General features: G+C 43.7%; 1 protein-coding gene across 13 annotated transcripts in view, besides 3 other annotated features; it reads right to left on the reverse strand.

The window, feature by feature from the left end:
- The window catches only part of XPNPEP1 (X-prolyl aminopeptidase 1), a 58,746-nt gene extending 40,910 nt beyond the window's left edge, over positions 1-17,836 (reverse strand). For 9 of the 13 annotated variants that reach the window (NM_001324134.2, XM_017016613.3, NM_001324135.2 and 6 more), the window contains exons 1-3: positions 17,727-17,836; positions 9,336-9,424; positions 2,016-2,140 (exon numbers count right to left, since the gene is read on the reverse strand). Coding sequence is in view for 9 of the 13 variants with exons in the window: in XM_017016613.3 (XP_016872102.1) it covers positions 2,016-2,140; positions 9,336-9,424; positions 17,727-17,758 (246 nt within the window). In the remaining 4 variants the exon portion in view is untranslated. Of the gene's footprint in view, positions 1-2,015; positions 2,141-9,335; positions 9,425-17,204; positions 17,572-17,726 lie in introns of those variants that run through there. The other 4 variants (NM_001324128.2, NM_001324132.2, NM_001324136.1 and 1 more) reach the window with 3 other exon arrangements.
- Positions 7,165-7,214: an enhancer, noted in NCBI's record as "active region_3997". NCBI's record gives its function as "activates an Ori minimal core promoter by ATAC-STARR-seq in GM12878 lymphoblastoid cells {active_cell/tissue: GM12878}" and the evidence as "EXISTENCE:reporter gene assay evidence [ECO:0000049][PMID:35858748]".
- Positions 7,561-8,216: an enhancer, noted in NCBI's record as "NANOG hESC enhancer chr10:111672994-111673649 (GRCh37/hg19 assembly coordinates)". NCBI's record gives its function as "activates a minimal SCP1, AML or CMV promoter by ChIP-STARR-seq in naive H9 embryonic stem cells {active_cell/tissue: H9 hESC(naive)}" and the evidence as "EXISTENCE:reporter gene assay evidence [ECO:0000049][PMID:30033119]".
- Positions 17,512-18,051: a silencer, noted in NCBI's record as "silent region_2804". NCBI's record gives its function as "represses an Ori minimal core promoter by ATAC-STARR-seq in GM12878 lymphoblastoid cells {active_cell/tissue: GM12878}" and the evidence as "EXISTENCE:reporter gene assay evidence [ECO:0000049][PMID:35858748]".

Raw genomic sequence — 18,749 nt, forward strand, 5'->3', positions numbered from 1 at the left:
TTGTACATTTTTAAATGGTTAAAATAAATGTCATATTATACATTTTTCACCACAATAAAAAAACACTGTTCAGCTCATTTCACTATTTTCTCAACTAACAAATATATTTTTTGTAGAGCATCTTACAAGACACAACAGGAATACTGAAGAACACACACAGTTTGGGGAACACTGTTCTAAACATCAAAGTATCCTAAACTTCATACTGTTGCCTCAAATATCCGATCCCTTTGCTTATTCATTTCAAGCCCTTCATTTGCTCCTAAGGCCAGGAAATCCATGTCTCCAGGCAGAGATCCAATCTTGAGGTTGAGTTGTTCCCAGGTTAATACAGGCCTGACCTTGTCGCAACCATGTAGACCAGGACCTCTGGGGAGAGGCAGGAAGTCAGCCAGCCAGAATGGACATGTTTTGTGATCTTTGCTCAACTTACAGAAATACCCTTATCTACCACCCCCTCCATCATGGTGGACTGGTGGACCCCCATTACTCATGTCTGACATCACACAGACACACACACAGACACAGACACGCACACGTGCACACACACAGAGTAACCAGGACCATGCAGAACCAAGTTGCTACATATACCAATCAAGTTCTCATCCTGGACTTTGAATTTGGGGGATTAAGGTTCTAGTTCAATCTGGTATCTTGAAAGTAAGAGAGGAAAAGATATAAATGTAGGTGTTGTCAGGTTTATATGACCCAACCAGTTGGCTGAAAAAGAGAAACTGATATGCAGCAAGACCTGAAAACCCTCCCGTCCCAGTTCTTCTTGAGGGCCTGCTACATTCCTGCCCTCATGTTCCACAAGACACCCTATCTGAGGCCCTGACACACATAACTCTGAGAGCACCATTCACAATCTGGAGTTGTGCCAATATGGTGGCTCTGCCCTTGAATCCTTATAAAGCATTTTTATTGCTCAAGGTATCTCAAGGCAGTTTCTATTACCTGCAACTGAAGAATCCTGTAACAACAGCTTTATTTCCCACCACTGCTTTTTACTTCCCTGGTCTCTTGCCAGGGAAACCTGTCCCACTGTTTCTGAAGAGCATCCGAAGCTTCCCTGTTTCTTTGCCTTTGCTGCCACTAATACTTTTACCTAGAACCTCTTTCCTCCTCCTCCACCCCATCCCTCTATTTACCCAAACTCCACCCATCCTTCAAGGTCCAATTCAACTGTCTCCCCTGTGCCATGAAGCTCTTCATCATCTTCCCCTCTCACCCTCAAACTTCCACAGCCTTCTGTCCAGATTTTCTTGATCACACTTACCACATTTTACCTTACAATACAGGTATGTGCATGTACATCTAAACTCCATTATTAAGCTGTATGCTTCTTAAAACCAGGAACAATCCTCATCTCTATATCATGTCTAATACCTGAGATGGGTAGGGCCTTATACATAAGTAAAGGCTGGGAAAAACTGTACTTATAGATGATTCTGTGGAAGAATAGCACTCTTATATTATTTCATCTCTCACTAAACCATAAGCCTAGTGAGAGCAGACATTCAACCTTAAGTTCATCTTTGCACCCTACAGCACCATAACCACAGTGTAAGCACTCAAACACTTGCTGACTCAATGACTTCACAGTGGATCCTAGAATCCTTTTACCCTACCGCCCATCAACCCTATCACATGAGGTCTCTGCCTCTCCAACTCTCCTGGATTGGGCAAAAGAGAGACAGGGCAAACAATTCTGCTAGGAACACAGTGTGGCAGAGGAGATGTGGAGTATGCCAGCAACAGAAAGTTCCAGAACTTCTGTCCCTTAATTTGCCCACTAATTCTTCATTGAAAGATGGCTAAGTCACTGGAATCAAGGAAGCTAGGGCCAATCCACAAGCATTCAGTGAGACCTATTGGACACAGATCCCCATAGCAAGCCCTGGAAGGGCTTGGTTGTGGCCCTGGTTGTGGGTTGACAATTAGAATCCTACAAACACATTAGGGCTGGGGAAAAAAGACTGAAAAGAAAGGAGAGGCCCATTGCCATGCAGTACCTGATGAGCATCTCCCGATGGGATGATGTAGGCCTGGATCGGTTCGGTCACATACTCAGAGTTCCTCATGGCTTGTCTCAGCTGCCGAAGCAGCTCTGAAGTCACCTTTGGAGGCATTCTGCCGTCTGCAACAACAGGAGAGCAAATTTCAAAACCAGCCTGCCCCCAGCAATTCAACGTCCAGTTCGAAGTGGGCCACAGAGAGAAGTGCCTTCTACGTTCTGCCCCACTCCCAGTTAGGTCTTCAAATTGATCACTCCACCACCAGACCAAGACCAAAGCTGCCAGAAACACTAATGTTCACAGTTCTTAAATACTACCTCCAAATAGCCATTTGTGGCCAGAAAAGTTCAGCTACTAACCATTTCCAACTTGACTGGTTACCTCTTTCACTCCTAGGACTTTATTCAAGAATAGGAGATAAGTACACAGAAATTTAGGTGTTTATCTTTGTTTATAGTAGAAAAAAGCAGGAGAAGTGTATGGTCAGTTAAATAAACTATAATACGTACAACAGTATACTGTGTACTCATTAAAAATTACACAGACCTAGAAAAGAATTACATAGACTTATATATTTGATTTGGAAAGATACCTAGACAACATTTGTGGGTGATTAAAAACAGATGACAGGCTGGGCGCAGTGGCTCACGCCTTTAATTCCAGCACTTTGGGAGGCCAAAGCAGGCAGATCACAAGGTCGGGAGATCGAGACCATCCTGGCCAATATGGTGAAACCCCGTCTCTACAAAATATAAAAAATCAGCCAGGTGTGGTGGCACGTGCCTGTAGTCCCAGCTACTCCGGAGGCTGAGGCAGGGGAATCACTTGCACTCAGGAGGTGGAGGTTGCAGTGACCTGAGACCACACCACTGCACTCCAGCCTGGCAAAAGACCAAGACTCCGTCTCAAAAAACAAAACAAAACAAACAGATGACAAAGGAAAAAAATATAGATTGTTCTTATTTATTTAAAATTGTGTATGTATATATGCAAAGAGAAGTTTCTAGAAGGACAGTCACCCAAGTGTTAAGAGTGGTTACCTTTGGGTAAGTAAATTTGGAGTAATTATTGTCTTCTTGTATTTTTCTGCTTTTTAAATTTGACTGCTTTAAAAGAGTATGTTTTATAAACCTTTTGTTAAATATCCAGCTACAGATTTAGAGAAGAAAGTTCCGTCCACTAGGAGTCAAAAGTCTTATCTTCTAGTGAATACCTGCTACCAACCAGCTGTGCAAGGGAGAAGGGGACCAGGGCCTCAATGCTCTGTGTTCTCCTCTTTAAAGTATGGCGGGAGTGGCCGGGTGCGGTGGCTCACACCTGTAATCCCAGCACTTTGGGAGGCCAAAGCAGGCGGACCACAAGGTCAGGAGATCGAGACCATCCTGGCTAACATGGTGAAGCCCCGTCTCTACTAAAAATACAAAAAAGTTAGCCAGGCGTGGTGGCGGGTGCCTGTAGTCCCAGCTACTCAGGAGGCTGAGGCAGGAGAATGGCGTGAACCCGGGAGGCAGAGCTTGCAGTGAGCCAGGATTGCACCACTACACTCCAGCCTGGGCAACAGAGTGAGACTCTGTCTCAAAAAAATAAATAAATAAAGTATGGCGGGAGTGGATGAGACCCAAGGTTTTCAAACGAAGTCCCAAGGCTCCAGGGGAGTCTACCATTCAAATAAAACCAGAGTTGGAATCACCAGCTTTAGAAAATACAAAATAGGAATAGAAATATAAAACTAATTAAAATGAAATGTTAAAGATGTTAACTCTGGTCCTACTAGAAATTCTTAAACTTGTTTCATCTATATCTATAGTCAGGAATAGTCTCTTGTACTCACTTAGTGGAAGCACAGATGATACAAGCTGACTTAACCACTTTAGTTGGTTCTTCAAAAAGACCTTTTCTCAACAATCACTGATATTAGTTAATGTTCTGATAAACATCATAGCTGTAGTCCTATGTCTACATAACAAAACAACTTCAGAAGGAGCCAATTACAGAATAGTGATCATGCATATTTCACTATATCCCATATACTGGCACAAAACTATACTATTAGAATTCAAAGTAGAATAATGAGTTTTTCCAACTCATTTTTAATAGACTTCATTTTTTACAGCAGTTATAGTTTCACAGCAAAACTGAGCAGAAAATACAGAGTTCCCATGTAGCTCCAGCCCCAACACACACACAGCCCCCTGCCACTATCTGCATCCCCAACCAGAGTAGTACATTTGTTAAAATGGATTAACTTACATTAACACATCATCATCACCCTAGGTCCACAGCTTACTCCTGCATTCATTCGTGGTGTTGTACATTCTATGGGTTTTGAAAAATGTGTAATGGCATGTATCCACCATTATAGTATCACACAGAGTACTTTCACTGCCCTGAAAATTCTATATGCACATGCAGCCTATTCATTCCTCCTTCCTCCTCTCCTCTAACCCGACAATAACTGAGCTTTTCTACTGTCTCCATAGTTTTGCCTGTTCTAAAATGTCATATAGTTAGAAACATACAATACATAGCTTTTCCAGATTGATTTCTTTCACTTAAGAATATGCATTTAAGCCAGGCACAGTGGCTCACACCTGTAATCCCAGCACTTCGTGAGGCCAAGGCTAGTGGATCACCTGAGGTTGGGAGCTCAAGACCAGCCTGACCAACATAGAGAAACCCCATCTCTACTAAAAATACAAAATTAGCTGGGCATGGTGGCACATGTCTGTAATCCTAGCTACTCAGGAGGCTGAGGCAGGAGAATTGCTCGAACACAGGAAGCAGAGGTTGTGGTGAGCCGAGATCACACCATTGCACTCCAGCCTGGGCAACAAAAGCGAAACTCTGTCTCAAAAAAAAAAAAAAAAGACAATATGCATTTAAGGTTCCTCTATGTCTTTTGATTGCTTGATAGCTCATTTTTTTAGCCCTGAATAATACTCCATTGTCTGGATGTACCACCATTTATCCATTCACCTGCTGAGGGACATATTGGTTGTTTCCAGGTTCTGGTAATCATGAATAAAGCTGCTATAAACATCTGTGTGCAGGTTTTAGGTGGACGTAAGATTCCAACTCATTTGGTGTTTTTGGTGTTTTGGAGTTTGCCAACTCATTTTTTAACAAAAATATTTTACTTAGTCAAAAACATTGTAACATAACTCTGTAAGTAACACAGAGTTAAATCAGGACAATTACATGAGGTGATCTTCAACGACTGACATCCTGACTTGCTGTAGCTTAAACCCTGCTGGGCATAGGTCCTTTTTGGATCTTTTTCTTTAACATACTCATTTGCTTCTTCCTTTTCATCATCACCAGCACCTTAGGCTTCTATGCCTCAGTTGTTATGGTGATCTCCAATAGAATCCCCTATGGGGTACCATACTGATCTTGAGCTAGAAAAAGTGCCCCACTTATCATCTGCAGCAAGGGCAACTTCAAAAGCAGGCCTTAGGGCTCACCCTCAGGAGTCTCAGAAGAGAGAAGTACTCAAAGGAAGAGTCAATGGAAACTGTCCTACTCATAACTCAAGCATATCCATGTTCCTTGCATTACACCTGCTTCTGAATATTGTTCAGAGGGGCATTCTTTTTTTTTCTGAGGGGAGACGGGGTCTTACTACATTGTCCAGGCTGGACTCCTGGGTTCAAGTGATCCTCCCGCCTCAGCTTCCCAAGTAAATGGGACTACAGGTACACACCACCACATCCAGCTATCCTTTCGTCTAATCTACTGGGCCTATAATTTCTCACCTATCAGAGAAAAAGGGATCGGAAGTATCTGGTCTGATCCAAGTTTATATGTCAACACCTCCACTGGGGGTTCAAAATAAAGCCCATTGTGATCTCCCAAGCTTGCCAGCATCTAAAAATTTTACTCTGATATCTTTCAGGAGCTTCAGAATAGATTTATTGTGTTTTCAAACCATATTTCTGAGCAAGTTATCATTCTTAAAAACAGTCAAGCAAAAATGAAGCTTTCTTTAGGAGCAGGACTTCAACACTGGCTGCACATTAGGACTATCCGGGAAACATCTGACTTAACTGGTCTGGAGTACAGCCTTGGCTTCAGGAGTTTTAAAATGCAAAAATATAAGAGTCTAATATACTTTCTTTCAAGATCATTTATTTCTTTATAGACTCTGCCTTCCATTCAGGTACATTCTGACGTAAGGATTTTGGTGGCACTGACTGGGTGTTTAGTGCTGATTGTAGTATCAATATTATCAGTCACTAACTTCATCAATAACGTTAACACAACCAATCATGAGCACAAAATCTTCAACTGCAAACTAAAAACCAACAAAAACAAACTGGATCTGTTCAAAAACATCCTCTGCTTCCTGGTCATCACAACCTGCCTCCTCATTCCCACATTCTGATCTTCATCACTACCACCATCACATCATCACGTTTCCCCTGGTGACTGGCATATCAGACCCCCACAGAATCATCAGCTTTATCAGTCTCACTGACACTCCCCTCCACAATGCTACCTACCCCCATCAACACTCAACACTTTCCCTCTTCCTACTTCCTCATCCTTCAGGCCGATCACATTCATGTTCTGGGTGCAATGCAGCTACTTCTTTATCATCAATATTAGACATGATGAAAGAAGTCCCAATACCATAACCAATAGTTAGGATGTGGTAAGGGGCAGTGGCAGCAACAGTGAAGGTGAAGAAGATAGCAACAGGCAATGGCTGAGGCAGTGAGGCAGCTACCACTGAAGTGAATACAGTGGGCCCTGGTGGTTGAGGCAGCTGTACCCACAAGGAAAACAGGTGATGGAAAGTGATTGAATGAGTGAGCAGCTGGAGCTAAGGAGAGAACAAAGTTGGTGCAATTATATAAGTCCTAGCCATTGAGGTGGCACTGGTTGAAAAGGCAGCCAAGATGGAGGAAGTGAAAGTTGTAGCTAATGACCCTCATAATTTGTATAAGGAGTAAATGAGTTACTATACATATGGCACTTAGAAACAGTACCTGGCACATAACAAATGTCATGTAAATGTTTAATGTTATTAGAGTTAGACACACAACTAACCATAAATGCAATGTGATAAATTGTGTAAACAGGTGTGTATACCACTTCTCCGGAAGGCAGGGATGATGTCATCTCTGTATCCATGTATCTACAATTAACATATACATATGCTCACTCAAAGATGGCTAAATCAAATTCACAACATTGGATCTATGATCTTTTCAGTCTCAATGAACAGTAATGAATCTTCAGTGACAGATAGGCTCTTGCAAGGTGCTGTATTATGACATCTGCTCATTCCACATCCTATGACTTTTCAGAAATGTTAGAAACAGCCAAGAGCTAAGCAAAGTATGCAGCAAAGTAGGAAGCCAAGAGCAACAGGCCTAGTCCACGATGAAACATTAGCCCATACACTGCCAGGTATTTTCAAACTATGCCTTACAGAGAATGACTCACTTAAAAGTCTTGCATATACAGGTCTGCTTTTAGAAATAAGTTCCCACACCTTCAGCCTTTATCACAAACAAGATTTTTCACTGATTGTACATGAAAAGCACACCATACTTACCTCACTGGTGGCCAGGCAAATTAAACATGATAATGTGTGTGAAAGCACCATGCACAGCATCTATTACACTGCAGGAGCTCAAGAAATATTTGAATCTGGATCTGAAGCACCAGCTGGAATTCCCAAGTCTCGTTATAAGAATGGAAGGGGCCAGTTTACTCCAATTTCAGCATCTTAACACGGGCACAGATGCTCTTCCAGCATCAATAGCTTTAGAGGTAGTGGTTTGTTTCTCTGTTGCACAGCTGAGGGAACGCTAAGGGCTTTACATACATTAGTGGCTAATTCTCACAACAATCCTCCAAGGGAGGTTTCACTATTCTCATTTTACACATAAAGGAACAGGAGTTAAAAGGAGTTAAGTACTTGCCCAAAGTCAGCTGGTTCATCAGGAACCGGGACTCAAGGTCTATGCAATTCCCAAGTCCATGCTCTATTACACCATATTAGCTGGGGGACATAATAGAGCCTTAAAGTGTTCTAAGACCAACAGAAGCAAAACAAGTGAGCTCCAGTTTCCAGCTGGGATCTACAACCTCAGGCAACTGAAGCTACCTAACCTCTATTTCCTCATACATTACAAAAAGAAAAAGAAGTTATCTTCCAACTCTAAGTTTAATGATTCCATCACTTTTTTCCTTTCTTTACTTTCTCTTTTTCCTCCTTCCTCTGCTACCTCCTAATATGGTCCAAAATGTGTTGGATACATCTATATTTTTTAAAGAAAAAGGATCTAAAATTGCATGCAATTATAGCACTGATCTTCCAAACAGAGATTAGACGGGCATGGTTTCTTATGTACTTCAAGAGATCAATTTTTCAGTCAGCTAAAAAAAAAAAAAACACATGGTTCTCCTTAGTAGTCGTTAGAGCAGTACTGGCTTACTGGGATAGAAATACAGTAATACACCACTTTTCAGAATTCAGGTTTCTGGCAACCCATCAGACAATTAACCAGTTCTGGGGAGAAGGGACAGCCAAGAAATATTTCCCAAAAAGACTTTCCTAAATGCACACTCAATTTATAAAGGACAATAATATATTACAAGCTTTTCTCATTTTGCAATCTTATGATCAAAATTGAAAGCTAATTTCTAAGATAATGAAGGACTATATTAGAGAAATAGAGAACATTTTCCATAATAACCTATCTCCTTCTCCACCACCACCACTCTGACAAAAATGGAAAACGAAAAAAACAAACAACAAAAAAAAAGTTGTAATTCTCTAACTTACTACCTTAAAAAAAAATGGTAATGGCCAGGCGCAGTGGCTCATGCCTGTAATCCCAGCACTTTGGGAGGCCAAGGCGGGCAGATCACCTGAGGTCGGGAGTTCAAGACCAGCCTGGCCAACATGGAGAAACCCCATCTCTACTAAAAATACAAAATTAGCTGGGCGTGGTGTCGGGCGCCTGTAATCCCAGCTACTCCGGAGGCTGAGGCAGGAGAATCGCTTGAACCCGGGAGACGGAGGTTGCAGTGAGCCGAGATCACGCCATTGCACTCCAGGCTGGGTGACCAAGGGCGAGACTCCGTCTCAAAAAAAAAAAAAAAAAATGGTAAATATATAGAAACAGTAACCAACCACTTAGGAAGCCAAAAAATAAAATGGTTTTTAACTTCCAGATACTAACCCCCAGTCATGATCTGTTACTAATTCCTTACCCTCTTCTTCTCACCCAACCTGGGGTTGGGGTGGAGATCTAAAATCCTTTACAGATGTTCCATCTAATTTCCAGACAAAATTATTACCTGTTTCCACACCTGTGTCTCCTGAGTGTGTCACCTCGTTAGGTTCAATTATTCTTAAATTTCTCAGTTGAAAATCCTGGTGATTCACCCTTAAGGAGAGAAAGAACAGGAAGTTGCAGACTTTGACCACAATAAACGTGGCAAGGCTCAGTTAGAGGAGGCATCGCTTAACTTAGCAGTTCTCTAACATGAGTCAGAAGAACTTTCACCCCCATTATCAGTGGCAGAATAAATAAAAGTTTGATGTAAAACTTGCAGGTGTAAAACATCCCCATGGCAGGTTAACCTTCTCAGTTGCAGCTTCTAGTTCATAAATTCTCACACCTCCTATTTAACTAGACTAAGAAGACTTATTTTCAATGTTTTTTCCTTACACAAGTTCTATTTGGTTCTTTTTCACATCTGCCCGTTCTTTCTTTATGGTGTCCTATTCTTGCACTCTGGTTTCTATGCCTTCTCTTTGTGCCTTCATTACTGTAGGCCCTTATTTTATAATTTCTCCCATACTTTCAAATAGATCTTGGGAGACTAACCCTCATGTTTGCTAGGTCTGCTGCCTCTCCCTCTTGGTGGTTCATTCCTTCTGCGTTTTGTGATCTTTTATTAAGAGCTTATCTTCAATAGAGGCTATTTATCTATGAGAATGTGATGGGTCCTGGTTTGTACAAGCAGTTCTGTTATTGTTTGCTTCTAAGACTTTCACATTAATTTATTAGCTAGAAGATTTACACACAAACTTCTTGTTCCCATATGGGGATAGTCTAATGCCCTGGACACCAGGCATGAAGGTCTATATCTGCATCTGGTAACTTTCCCAGGCTCAGGTTACTAGCATACCACTCAGGCGTTAGGTTCCCTCTACATTTTTGGCACTTGAGGATTTCTCTTTCTTTCAAGTTCATTCAGTCAACAAATATTTATTGAAAAATCTTCCATAATCCAGGCCCTATTCTGGACACAACAGTGAACAAAACAGACAAGATCTCTGACTTTAACAAATTAAGATGGGGCAAGGCAGGGGGATGGGCAGAAGACAGGGAAGAGAAGGCAACAGACACAAAACAAGTACACAATACGTCAAGTAATAAGAACGTGTTTTGTGAAAAAAAGTAAAGCACAGCAAGGGGAAGAAAGCATCAAGGAGGTAAGGGGAAGGATTATTTCATATGGGGTAGCCAGGGACAGCCTCTATTATAACAGACAACATTTTAACACAGACCTAAAAAGAGTGAGGAAGCAAGCCATGTGAACGGCTAGGGGAACAATGTTCCAGGACAACAGCAAGTGCAAAGGCCATGAGGCAGGAGTATGTCTAGTTTACCTGAGGAAAAGCAAGAAGGTCAGCGCAGTGTGATTGTATCAGGGGATGGGGAGGTAAGTGGTTCAGAGACAACATCATTGAGGCACCAGGGGGCCTACTGTGGGGCCATAGAAAAGGTTTTGAATTTTACTCAGCTATGAACTCAATTAAGTTATAATTTAACCGCATTTTTACATGTTGGTAAAGACAGAGAGGGACACATTAGCTCAGTCTACCACACGGTAAGAACCAGATAACCAGGCAGCTTTACCAATGACTCTAGGCCTGCTTTCATATGGCTGTGACTTTAGTTTTACTGGACAGAATGGGATGTTCTTAACGAGAGTAAACATATTATTCTTTCATAAAAAAGTAAGACACCCCAATATGTCTTCTAAAATATAAATACAAATATCCTCAACAAAATACCAGCAAACGGAATCTAGAACAATATAAAAAGGATCATCATCGCCAAGTGGGTCTTATCCCAGGAATACAAGGTTGGCTCAATATATGAAAAATCAATTATTATAACAGGCCATATCAATAGAATAAAGAACAAAATCTACATGGTCTTCTCAACAAACGCAGAAAAAGCACGACAAAATCCAATGCCCCTTCAAGTTAAAAGTACTCAGCAAACTAGAAGAAAAATTCCTCAACCTGACAAAAGTTATTACAAAACCTACAGCTAACATCATTCTTAATGCTGAAAGACTGAATGCTTTCCCCTATAATCTAGGGAATGTCTACTCTTGGCAGAGTAGACAGGGATGTCTACTCTTGGCATTTCTATTCAACATTGTACCAGAAGTTCTATCTAGGGTAAGTAGGCAAGAAAATGAAACAAAAGGCATCCAGTTTAGAAAAGAAGAAGTAAAACTATCTCTATTTGCAATTGACATAATCTTGAATACAGAAAATCCTAAAGAATCCACAAACAAAATTAGAACTAATAACTGAGTTCATCAAGAATGCAGGATACAAAAATCAATATTTAAAAAATCAATTTGACTTCTATATCCTTGTAATGAGCAATTCAAAAATAAAATTAAGAAAAGTCCATTTACAATATCAAAAACAAAAAATAGTTAGAAATAAATTTAACAAAAGAAGTGCAAAATGTACACCACAAAAACTAAAAAAGACTGCTGAAAGTAACTGAAGAAGACCTAAATAAACAAAAGCTATTCCATGGTCATGGATTGGAAGGTTTACTATTGGTAAGATGGCAGTAATTCCCAAATTGATCTATGGACTCAATGCATTCCCTGCCAAAATTCTAGCTAGCTTGGAGGTTGAAACTGACAAGCAGATTCTAAAATTCATATGGAAATGCAAGGGACCCAGAATAGCCAAAACAATCTTGAAAAAGAACAAAATCTTGAAAAGAACTCTTCCATCCCAATTTCAAACCTAAATACAAGACAGTGTGGTGCTAGCATAAGAATGGACTTACAAATGAGTAAAACAGAATTAACAGTCCAGAAATAAACCCTCACAACTGTCAACTGATTTTTGAGGATGCCAAAACCATTCAATGGGGAAGGAATAGTCTCTTCCACAAATGGTGCTGGGACAAGTGAATATCCACATGCAAAAGAATAAAGTTTCCAACATGGCAAAACTCCGTTTCTACAAAAAATACAAAAATTAGTCAGGCATGGTGGTGTGCACCTGTAGTCTCAGCTACTCTGGAGGCTGAGGTGGGGTGGATCACTTGAGCCCTGGAGGTCAAGGCTGCAGTGAGCCATGATAGCACCACTGCACTCCAGCTTGGGTTACAGAGCAAGACCCTGCCTCAAAAAAAAAAACAAAAAAACAAAAAAGCCCAGGCACAATGACTCACATCTGTAATCCCAGCACTTTGGGAGGCCAAGGCAGGCAGACTGCCTGAGTCCCAGGGTTCGAGACTAGCTTGGGCAACATGGCAAAACCCATCTCTACAAAATTTACAAAAATGAGCCAGGTTTGGTGGTGCACACCTGTGGTCCCAGCTACTTAGGAGGCTGAGGCAGGAGGATCGCTTAAGCCAGAGAGGTTGAGGCAGCAGTGAGCTGTGATCGCCCCACTGCAGTCTAGCCTTGGTGACACAGAGAGACCCTGTCTCAAAAAAAGAAAAATGAAGTTTAACCCACTTCATATCATATTCAAAAATTAACACAAATGGGCCGGGCACGGTGGCTCACGCCTGTAATCCCAGCACTTTGGGAGGCCGAGGTGGGCAGATCACGAGGTCAGGAGATCCAGACCATCCTGGCTAACACGGTGAAACCCTGTCTCTACTAAAAATACAAAAAATTAGCCAGGCATGGTGGCGGGCGCATGTAGTCCCAGCTACTCGGAAGGCTGAGGCAGGAGAATGGTGTGAACCCAGGAGGGGGAGCTTGCAGTGAGCTGAGATCGGGCCACTGCACTCCAGCCTGGGCGACAGAGCAAGAGAAAAGGAAAGAAAGAAAGGAAGACAGGAAGGAAGGAGAGGAAGGAGAGGAAGGAAAGGAAAGAAAGGAAAGAAAGGAAAGGAGGAAGGAAGGAAGGAAGGAAGGAGGGAAGGAAGGAAGGAAGGAAGGAAGGAAGGAAGGAAGGAAGGAAGGAAGGAAGGAAGGAGAGAGAGAAAAAAGAAAAAGAACGAAAAGGAAGGAAAGGAAGGAAAGAAAAGAAAGAAAGAAAATAAAAAAAAATTAACCCAAATGGATCACAGGTATGAACGTAGGCGCTAAACTGTAAAACTCTTATAGCGCAACCATAAGTCTGCCTGACCTTGGATTAGGCAATGACTTCTTTAGACACAAATCAAAAAGCACAGCAACAAAAGAAAAAAGAGATACACTGGACTTCATCAGAATTTAAAATGTTTGTGTTTCAAAGGATACCATCAAGAAAATGGATGACAACCCACAGAATGGGAGAAAACATCTGTAAATCTGTTGAGTCTAGTATCCAGAATATATAAAGAACTATTATAACTCAACAATAAAAAGACATATAACCCAATTTTAAATGGGCTAAGGATCTGAATAGACATTTCTCCAGCAAAAGTACACAAATGACCAAGAAGTACATGAAAAGATGCTCATCATTAGTCATTAGGGAAACACAAATCGAAACCACAATGTGATACCACTTCACACCCACTAGGAAGGTTATAATAAAAAAGATTGACAGTAACAAGTGCGGGTGAGGGTATAGAAAAAATTAGAACCCTCAAACATTCCTGATGAGAATGTAAAATGGTGTAATGGCTTTGGAAAACCATTCCTAGGTACACAATCAAGAAAATTGAAAATATATATCCTTATAAAAAGTTGTACACAAATATTCACAGCTGCATTATTTGTAACAGCCAAACTGTAGGAACAACTCAAATGCCCAACTGATAAATGGATAAATAAAAGTGTCTATCCATATAATGGAATGTTCTTTGCCAATAAAGGGAAATCACGCCAGGCGCGGTAGCTCACGCCTGTAATCCCAGCACTTTGGGAGGCTGAGACGGGCAGATCATGAGGTCAAGAGATAGAGACCATCCTGGCCAACATGGTGAAACCCCATCTCTACTGAAAATACAAAAATTAGCTGGGTGTGGTGGTGCACACCTGTAGTCCCAGCTACTCAGGAGGCTGAGGCAGGAGAATCACTTGAACCCGGGAGGTGGAGGCTGCAGTGAGCCAAGATCGTGCCACTGCACTCCAGCCTGGCAACAGAGCAAGACTCCGTCTCATTTAAAAAAAAAAAAAGAAAGAAAAGAAAGAAATCACACCTATGACATAGGTGAACCTTGAAAACATGCTAAGGGAAAAAGCCTAATACAAAAGACCACATAGTATATGATTCTATTCACATAAAATGTCCAGAATAGGCAAATCGGTAAAGACAGGAAGTAGACATGCAGTGTTGGTGGTTGCCAAGGGCTGAGGTGAGGAGTGACTGATTACAGGTAACAGGATTTCTTTCGGGGATGAAGAAAATGTTCTAAAATGATTGTGATGATAGTTGTACAACTCTGTGACTATACTAATAACTTGAATTGTACATTTTAACAGATGAATTGTATATAAGTGAATTATATCTCAATAAAGCCATTATAAATTTTATAACATCTCTTTCTTGTGGACAGGGATACAAGTCAGATTCTCACCGAATTTCCCATTACTTCATACGTAAGTTTCTAAGATGGTAAGTAACTGATCCCAATGACTGGTTCAGACACATGACTACAGAGGTGGAAGGTTATCATTTTTTTAGAGACAGGGTCTTGCTGTGTCACTCAGGCTGGAGTGCAGTGGCACAATCTTAGCTTATGGCAGCCTCAAACTCCTAAGCTCAAGCAATTCTCCTGCCTCAATCTCCCAAGGACCTAGGACTACAGGTATGTGCCATCACACCAACCTGATTTTTTTTTTTTAATAATTTTCTGAAGAGACAGGATCTCACCACATTGCCCAGTCTGGTCTCAAACTCCTGGCCTCAAGTGATCCTCCCACCTCAGCCTCCCAAAGTGCTGGGACTATAGGTGTGAGCCACCGTGCCTAGCCAAGGTTACCTTAAGGTAATCCTATTCATTCATTTTACAGAATAAAAAAACAAAGATAACTTACCATAGGCCATATAACTCAGTAGCCGCAAAGCCAAGACCAGAAACTAGGTCTGACAGGTGAGCTCAAACTCTCTGTGTGAGCATCAACACCTCCACCTTTCTGTCAGGATCACAGGAGCTACGAAGCAGCTCAATACTACAGCTGCTCTGTTCTTGTCGTATCTTGGTCTCCGCAGAGTCCAAGATCTATCCACCTTTCACTTGTTTGGACAGATAAAATTCTTAAGTTCTCTGTCAAAGCACAATTATCATTAAATATTAAGAACTAGAAGAATATACCTCAGGGACTATCCAACTCAATTCCCTCCTCTAGACCAGGAAACCAAGAAACAAAGATCAAATGACTGGCTCAAGGCCTCACAGCTAACTGCTGACAGAGCTAGAACCAGCGTTCCAGCCTCCCAACATCCAGCTCAGTGCTCCTACCCTTCCCAGAACTTCTTCGACCTACACCTTCTCAACTTCATGATGAGCCACAAAGTGGGTAAGGGGCAAGAAGCATGCAGAGCACTTTCAATCTTTGTATAAGATGGTTATGGTAGCACTAGAAAAGGCCTTCTCCCTCTTTTTCCAAGAAATTCTGGCAGGGTTCTGAATACCTCACCCCCCTGCAACCCCCAGTTCATGGGAATCACACATGTGTAGCGTTCAGCATGGGGCAAAACAAGGAACAAGATGCTCAATCACACCTAGTGGATGAGACAAGGGTAAACTGGAACAAGTTCTAAGGTTGGGAAGTAAGCAATGTTGTCTTTGTCTACCCAGAATCCATCCCTCCTTTTGATGGGAACCTTGGTTTTCCTTTTGAGAATGTACCCTCTCCATTTCAGCCCAAGGGGTTCAAAGCAGTCTTATCCAAACACCTAACAGGCTCTGGGACCCAAAGCAGGTCAATCCCTCCCTCTGGCCATAATGATTGGTTCACAGATGAACATGAGAATTAAGGCAGCCCAGTGAGCATCAGATCAGGGACTTCTGCTCCATTAGGAAGGAGGGCTCAACTTCTCTGCTGGGGCTGTCAGCCTAGAACTGTCATAACCTGCCATAAGGAGAAAGTCTCCCTGAGAATGAAGCGGATACTGAATAAATCAGAGCCAAGAGATGATAAAGAGAAGTCTGAAGCCAATGTTGGTGGTGCTCCCGGATTCAGCCACACTAGAAGCCAGCTCAACCCCATTTTAGGTAAATCAATTTGAGTTCAGTTTCCATTACCGAAACTGAAAGAAGTGCTCACTTTTACAAGGAATGGCACTCAAATTCTACCAGTAGGGGAGGCGCCTGTGGAAAATGGCTTCCCCTCTCTCAGCCTTTCACTGGACTTTCCTTTGAGGTAAAAAAGACTCTACCAGCTGGTGTAGAAAAGACTCTTCTGCTCCTAAAAGGCTGTGAGTCTATAAATCTAGCACAGATCACCTTGGCCCCCTAAAGACCACCTGAGGCCTACAGCCTAACTCATCATTATCCACTTGCCTGACTCCATTTCCAGCACTTCACTTACAGGAAGCTCCTTCCAGATGGAAGTTCTCCACCCCTCCCACATACTTCCACAGGGTGGGTCTGGTTTTCTGCTCACCCTTAACAAGCTGTGGCAACGGCAAATCCAGGTCAAGGTAGGTTTGGGACCCCCCTACTCACAAACACAAGCAGGAGCCATGGTCTGTGTTCAGCAAGAAAGCCTGGCCATGCTGCAAAGTGAGTGCATTCATGTCTCAAGTGGTTAGCAGGTGGGTGACCCCTTGGGGATGGCCAGGGAGTCTGGCCTGTGGCCTCCATGAACTCTGAACACCTCTCTCCGTCTCCCACTTTGTCAGAGGCTCTGATAAGTACATCCTGGTTATGGCAGGGGAATAAACTAAAACATGTTTAACTTGAGGCCGGGAAATTATCTGTCTCACCCTCCTATGCCCAAGGAGAGCCCAGGGCAGGCTACTGGGGGGATTTTCCTGGAGATTATACCAAAATATTCCCTTACACAGCCTCTGAAACCATTTGGGTAGGGAGGGGCCCGCGACCGTCTATCCTTGTGGCGGTGACAGATCAGTAGAGTGAATTGCAGGAGTCAGTATTGTCGAGATTGTAACTTGAGGTTTAGATTCCTGGGTAACAGAAGCGAGGGCAAAGGCTCGCCCACCTCCCCGGACACGAAGAGGGGCCAACTTCCTCCAAGAACGGGGCCTTCCCGCGGGCCAGGAACTGTGACGGCCGCCGCCCCCTCAGGCCGAGTGCAGCAGTTCCGCGGGCATACGCGTCCAGGAACCAGACTCGGGCCGCCCCGTGCCCACCGACCCTCCGGAAACGAACCGGATCTCGCCCGGCCTCATGGACCCCTTCCCCCGGCTCCTGTTCCGGGGCTCCGGCGAGCGCGGCCCTCGCCAGACTGCGGCGGGCCGGGCTCCTCACCCGCGCGTCCCTGCCCGCCGAGGTGCAACACGCGCGGCCGCGCAGCGAGGGCTGCACGCTGCCCGGACGCCGGCTGCCGGCGGAGTGCCCTCACCTTACTCGCGGTGGCTTTCTGGAGGCTGCCATTCGGCGGTGACGTGCCCCAGCCCACGTCAGGGGAGCGCAGACCAGCTGATCACCCGCGGAAGGGCCGGCGCGAAGGAGGCGCGAGAGCCGGCGGGCGGGCGGGCGGGCTAGCGCCGGGTCGGCCACGCCCTCGCCCGTGGCGGGCGCTGGCGCCGCGGCCCCGCCCACACGCAGGCCCCGCCCACACTCCCGGACCTGGGGTTCGCGGCCGCAGCGCCTGCGGCCCAGAGCGGGGCCTGCCCTTCCACACCAGTCCGCATTGCCTCTCCCTGCAGCGAGCGGGGAAAGGACGCAGTGCTGCTGAGTGTCTTCATTTTTGTTCGTTTTTGTCGTCATTCCTCAAAGAGGAAAAAGGGCTTTGCCGAATAAAGGGGCTACTGTCCCAGGGATTTTCCGGCTTAATTTAGGAGGGCTGAGAAGAGAGGGACGTGGCCGGCTCCGGAAGAACCTCGACAGGGTCTTCGAGGCTTTGGAACAGGGTCTCAAGCTTTAGAAATGTCCCCAAAAGTATGTTCCCAGAGAGCTTCAAAATCCAGCTCTCCGCTCCGCTTGGATAGTAAATAGCCCCTTCAAACTTAACGTCCAAACGGAACTCCTGGAACTCCCAATGCACCGAAGCAAAGCAAAAACGTTCTCCACCAGTCTTCTTTGCCATCTCAATCAATGGCTACTCTATTCTTAAGAGGCAAAATTTAGGAATCCTCCCTGCCTCTTCTCTTTCACACCCCACATCTAATCTGCCAGCAAAATCTTGTTGGCCCTGCCTCCAAAATAGACCCCTAATCTGGCCGTGTCACACCACCTCCACCTCCTACCCTCTGATGTGCATCAGAGGGTTGTACCACCCCACCCGTGTGGTTACAGCAGCCCCCCAAATATCCCCTCACCATCCCGCACCTGCACAGTCCAGCCTGAACAAAGCCGCCAGACCAGTCCTTTGAAGCGTGACACCAGGTCACTTCTTTGCTCAGCACTTTCCATTAATTTCTCG

Source organism: Homo sapiens, chromosome 10 (genome assembly GCF_000001405.40).
Source record: "Homo sapiens chromosome 10, GRCh38.p14 Primary Assembly".
NCBI lineage: Eukaryota > Metazoa > Chordata > Mammalia > Primates > Hominidae > Homo > Homo sapiens.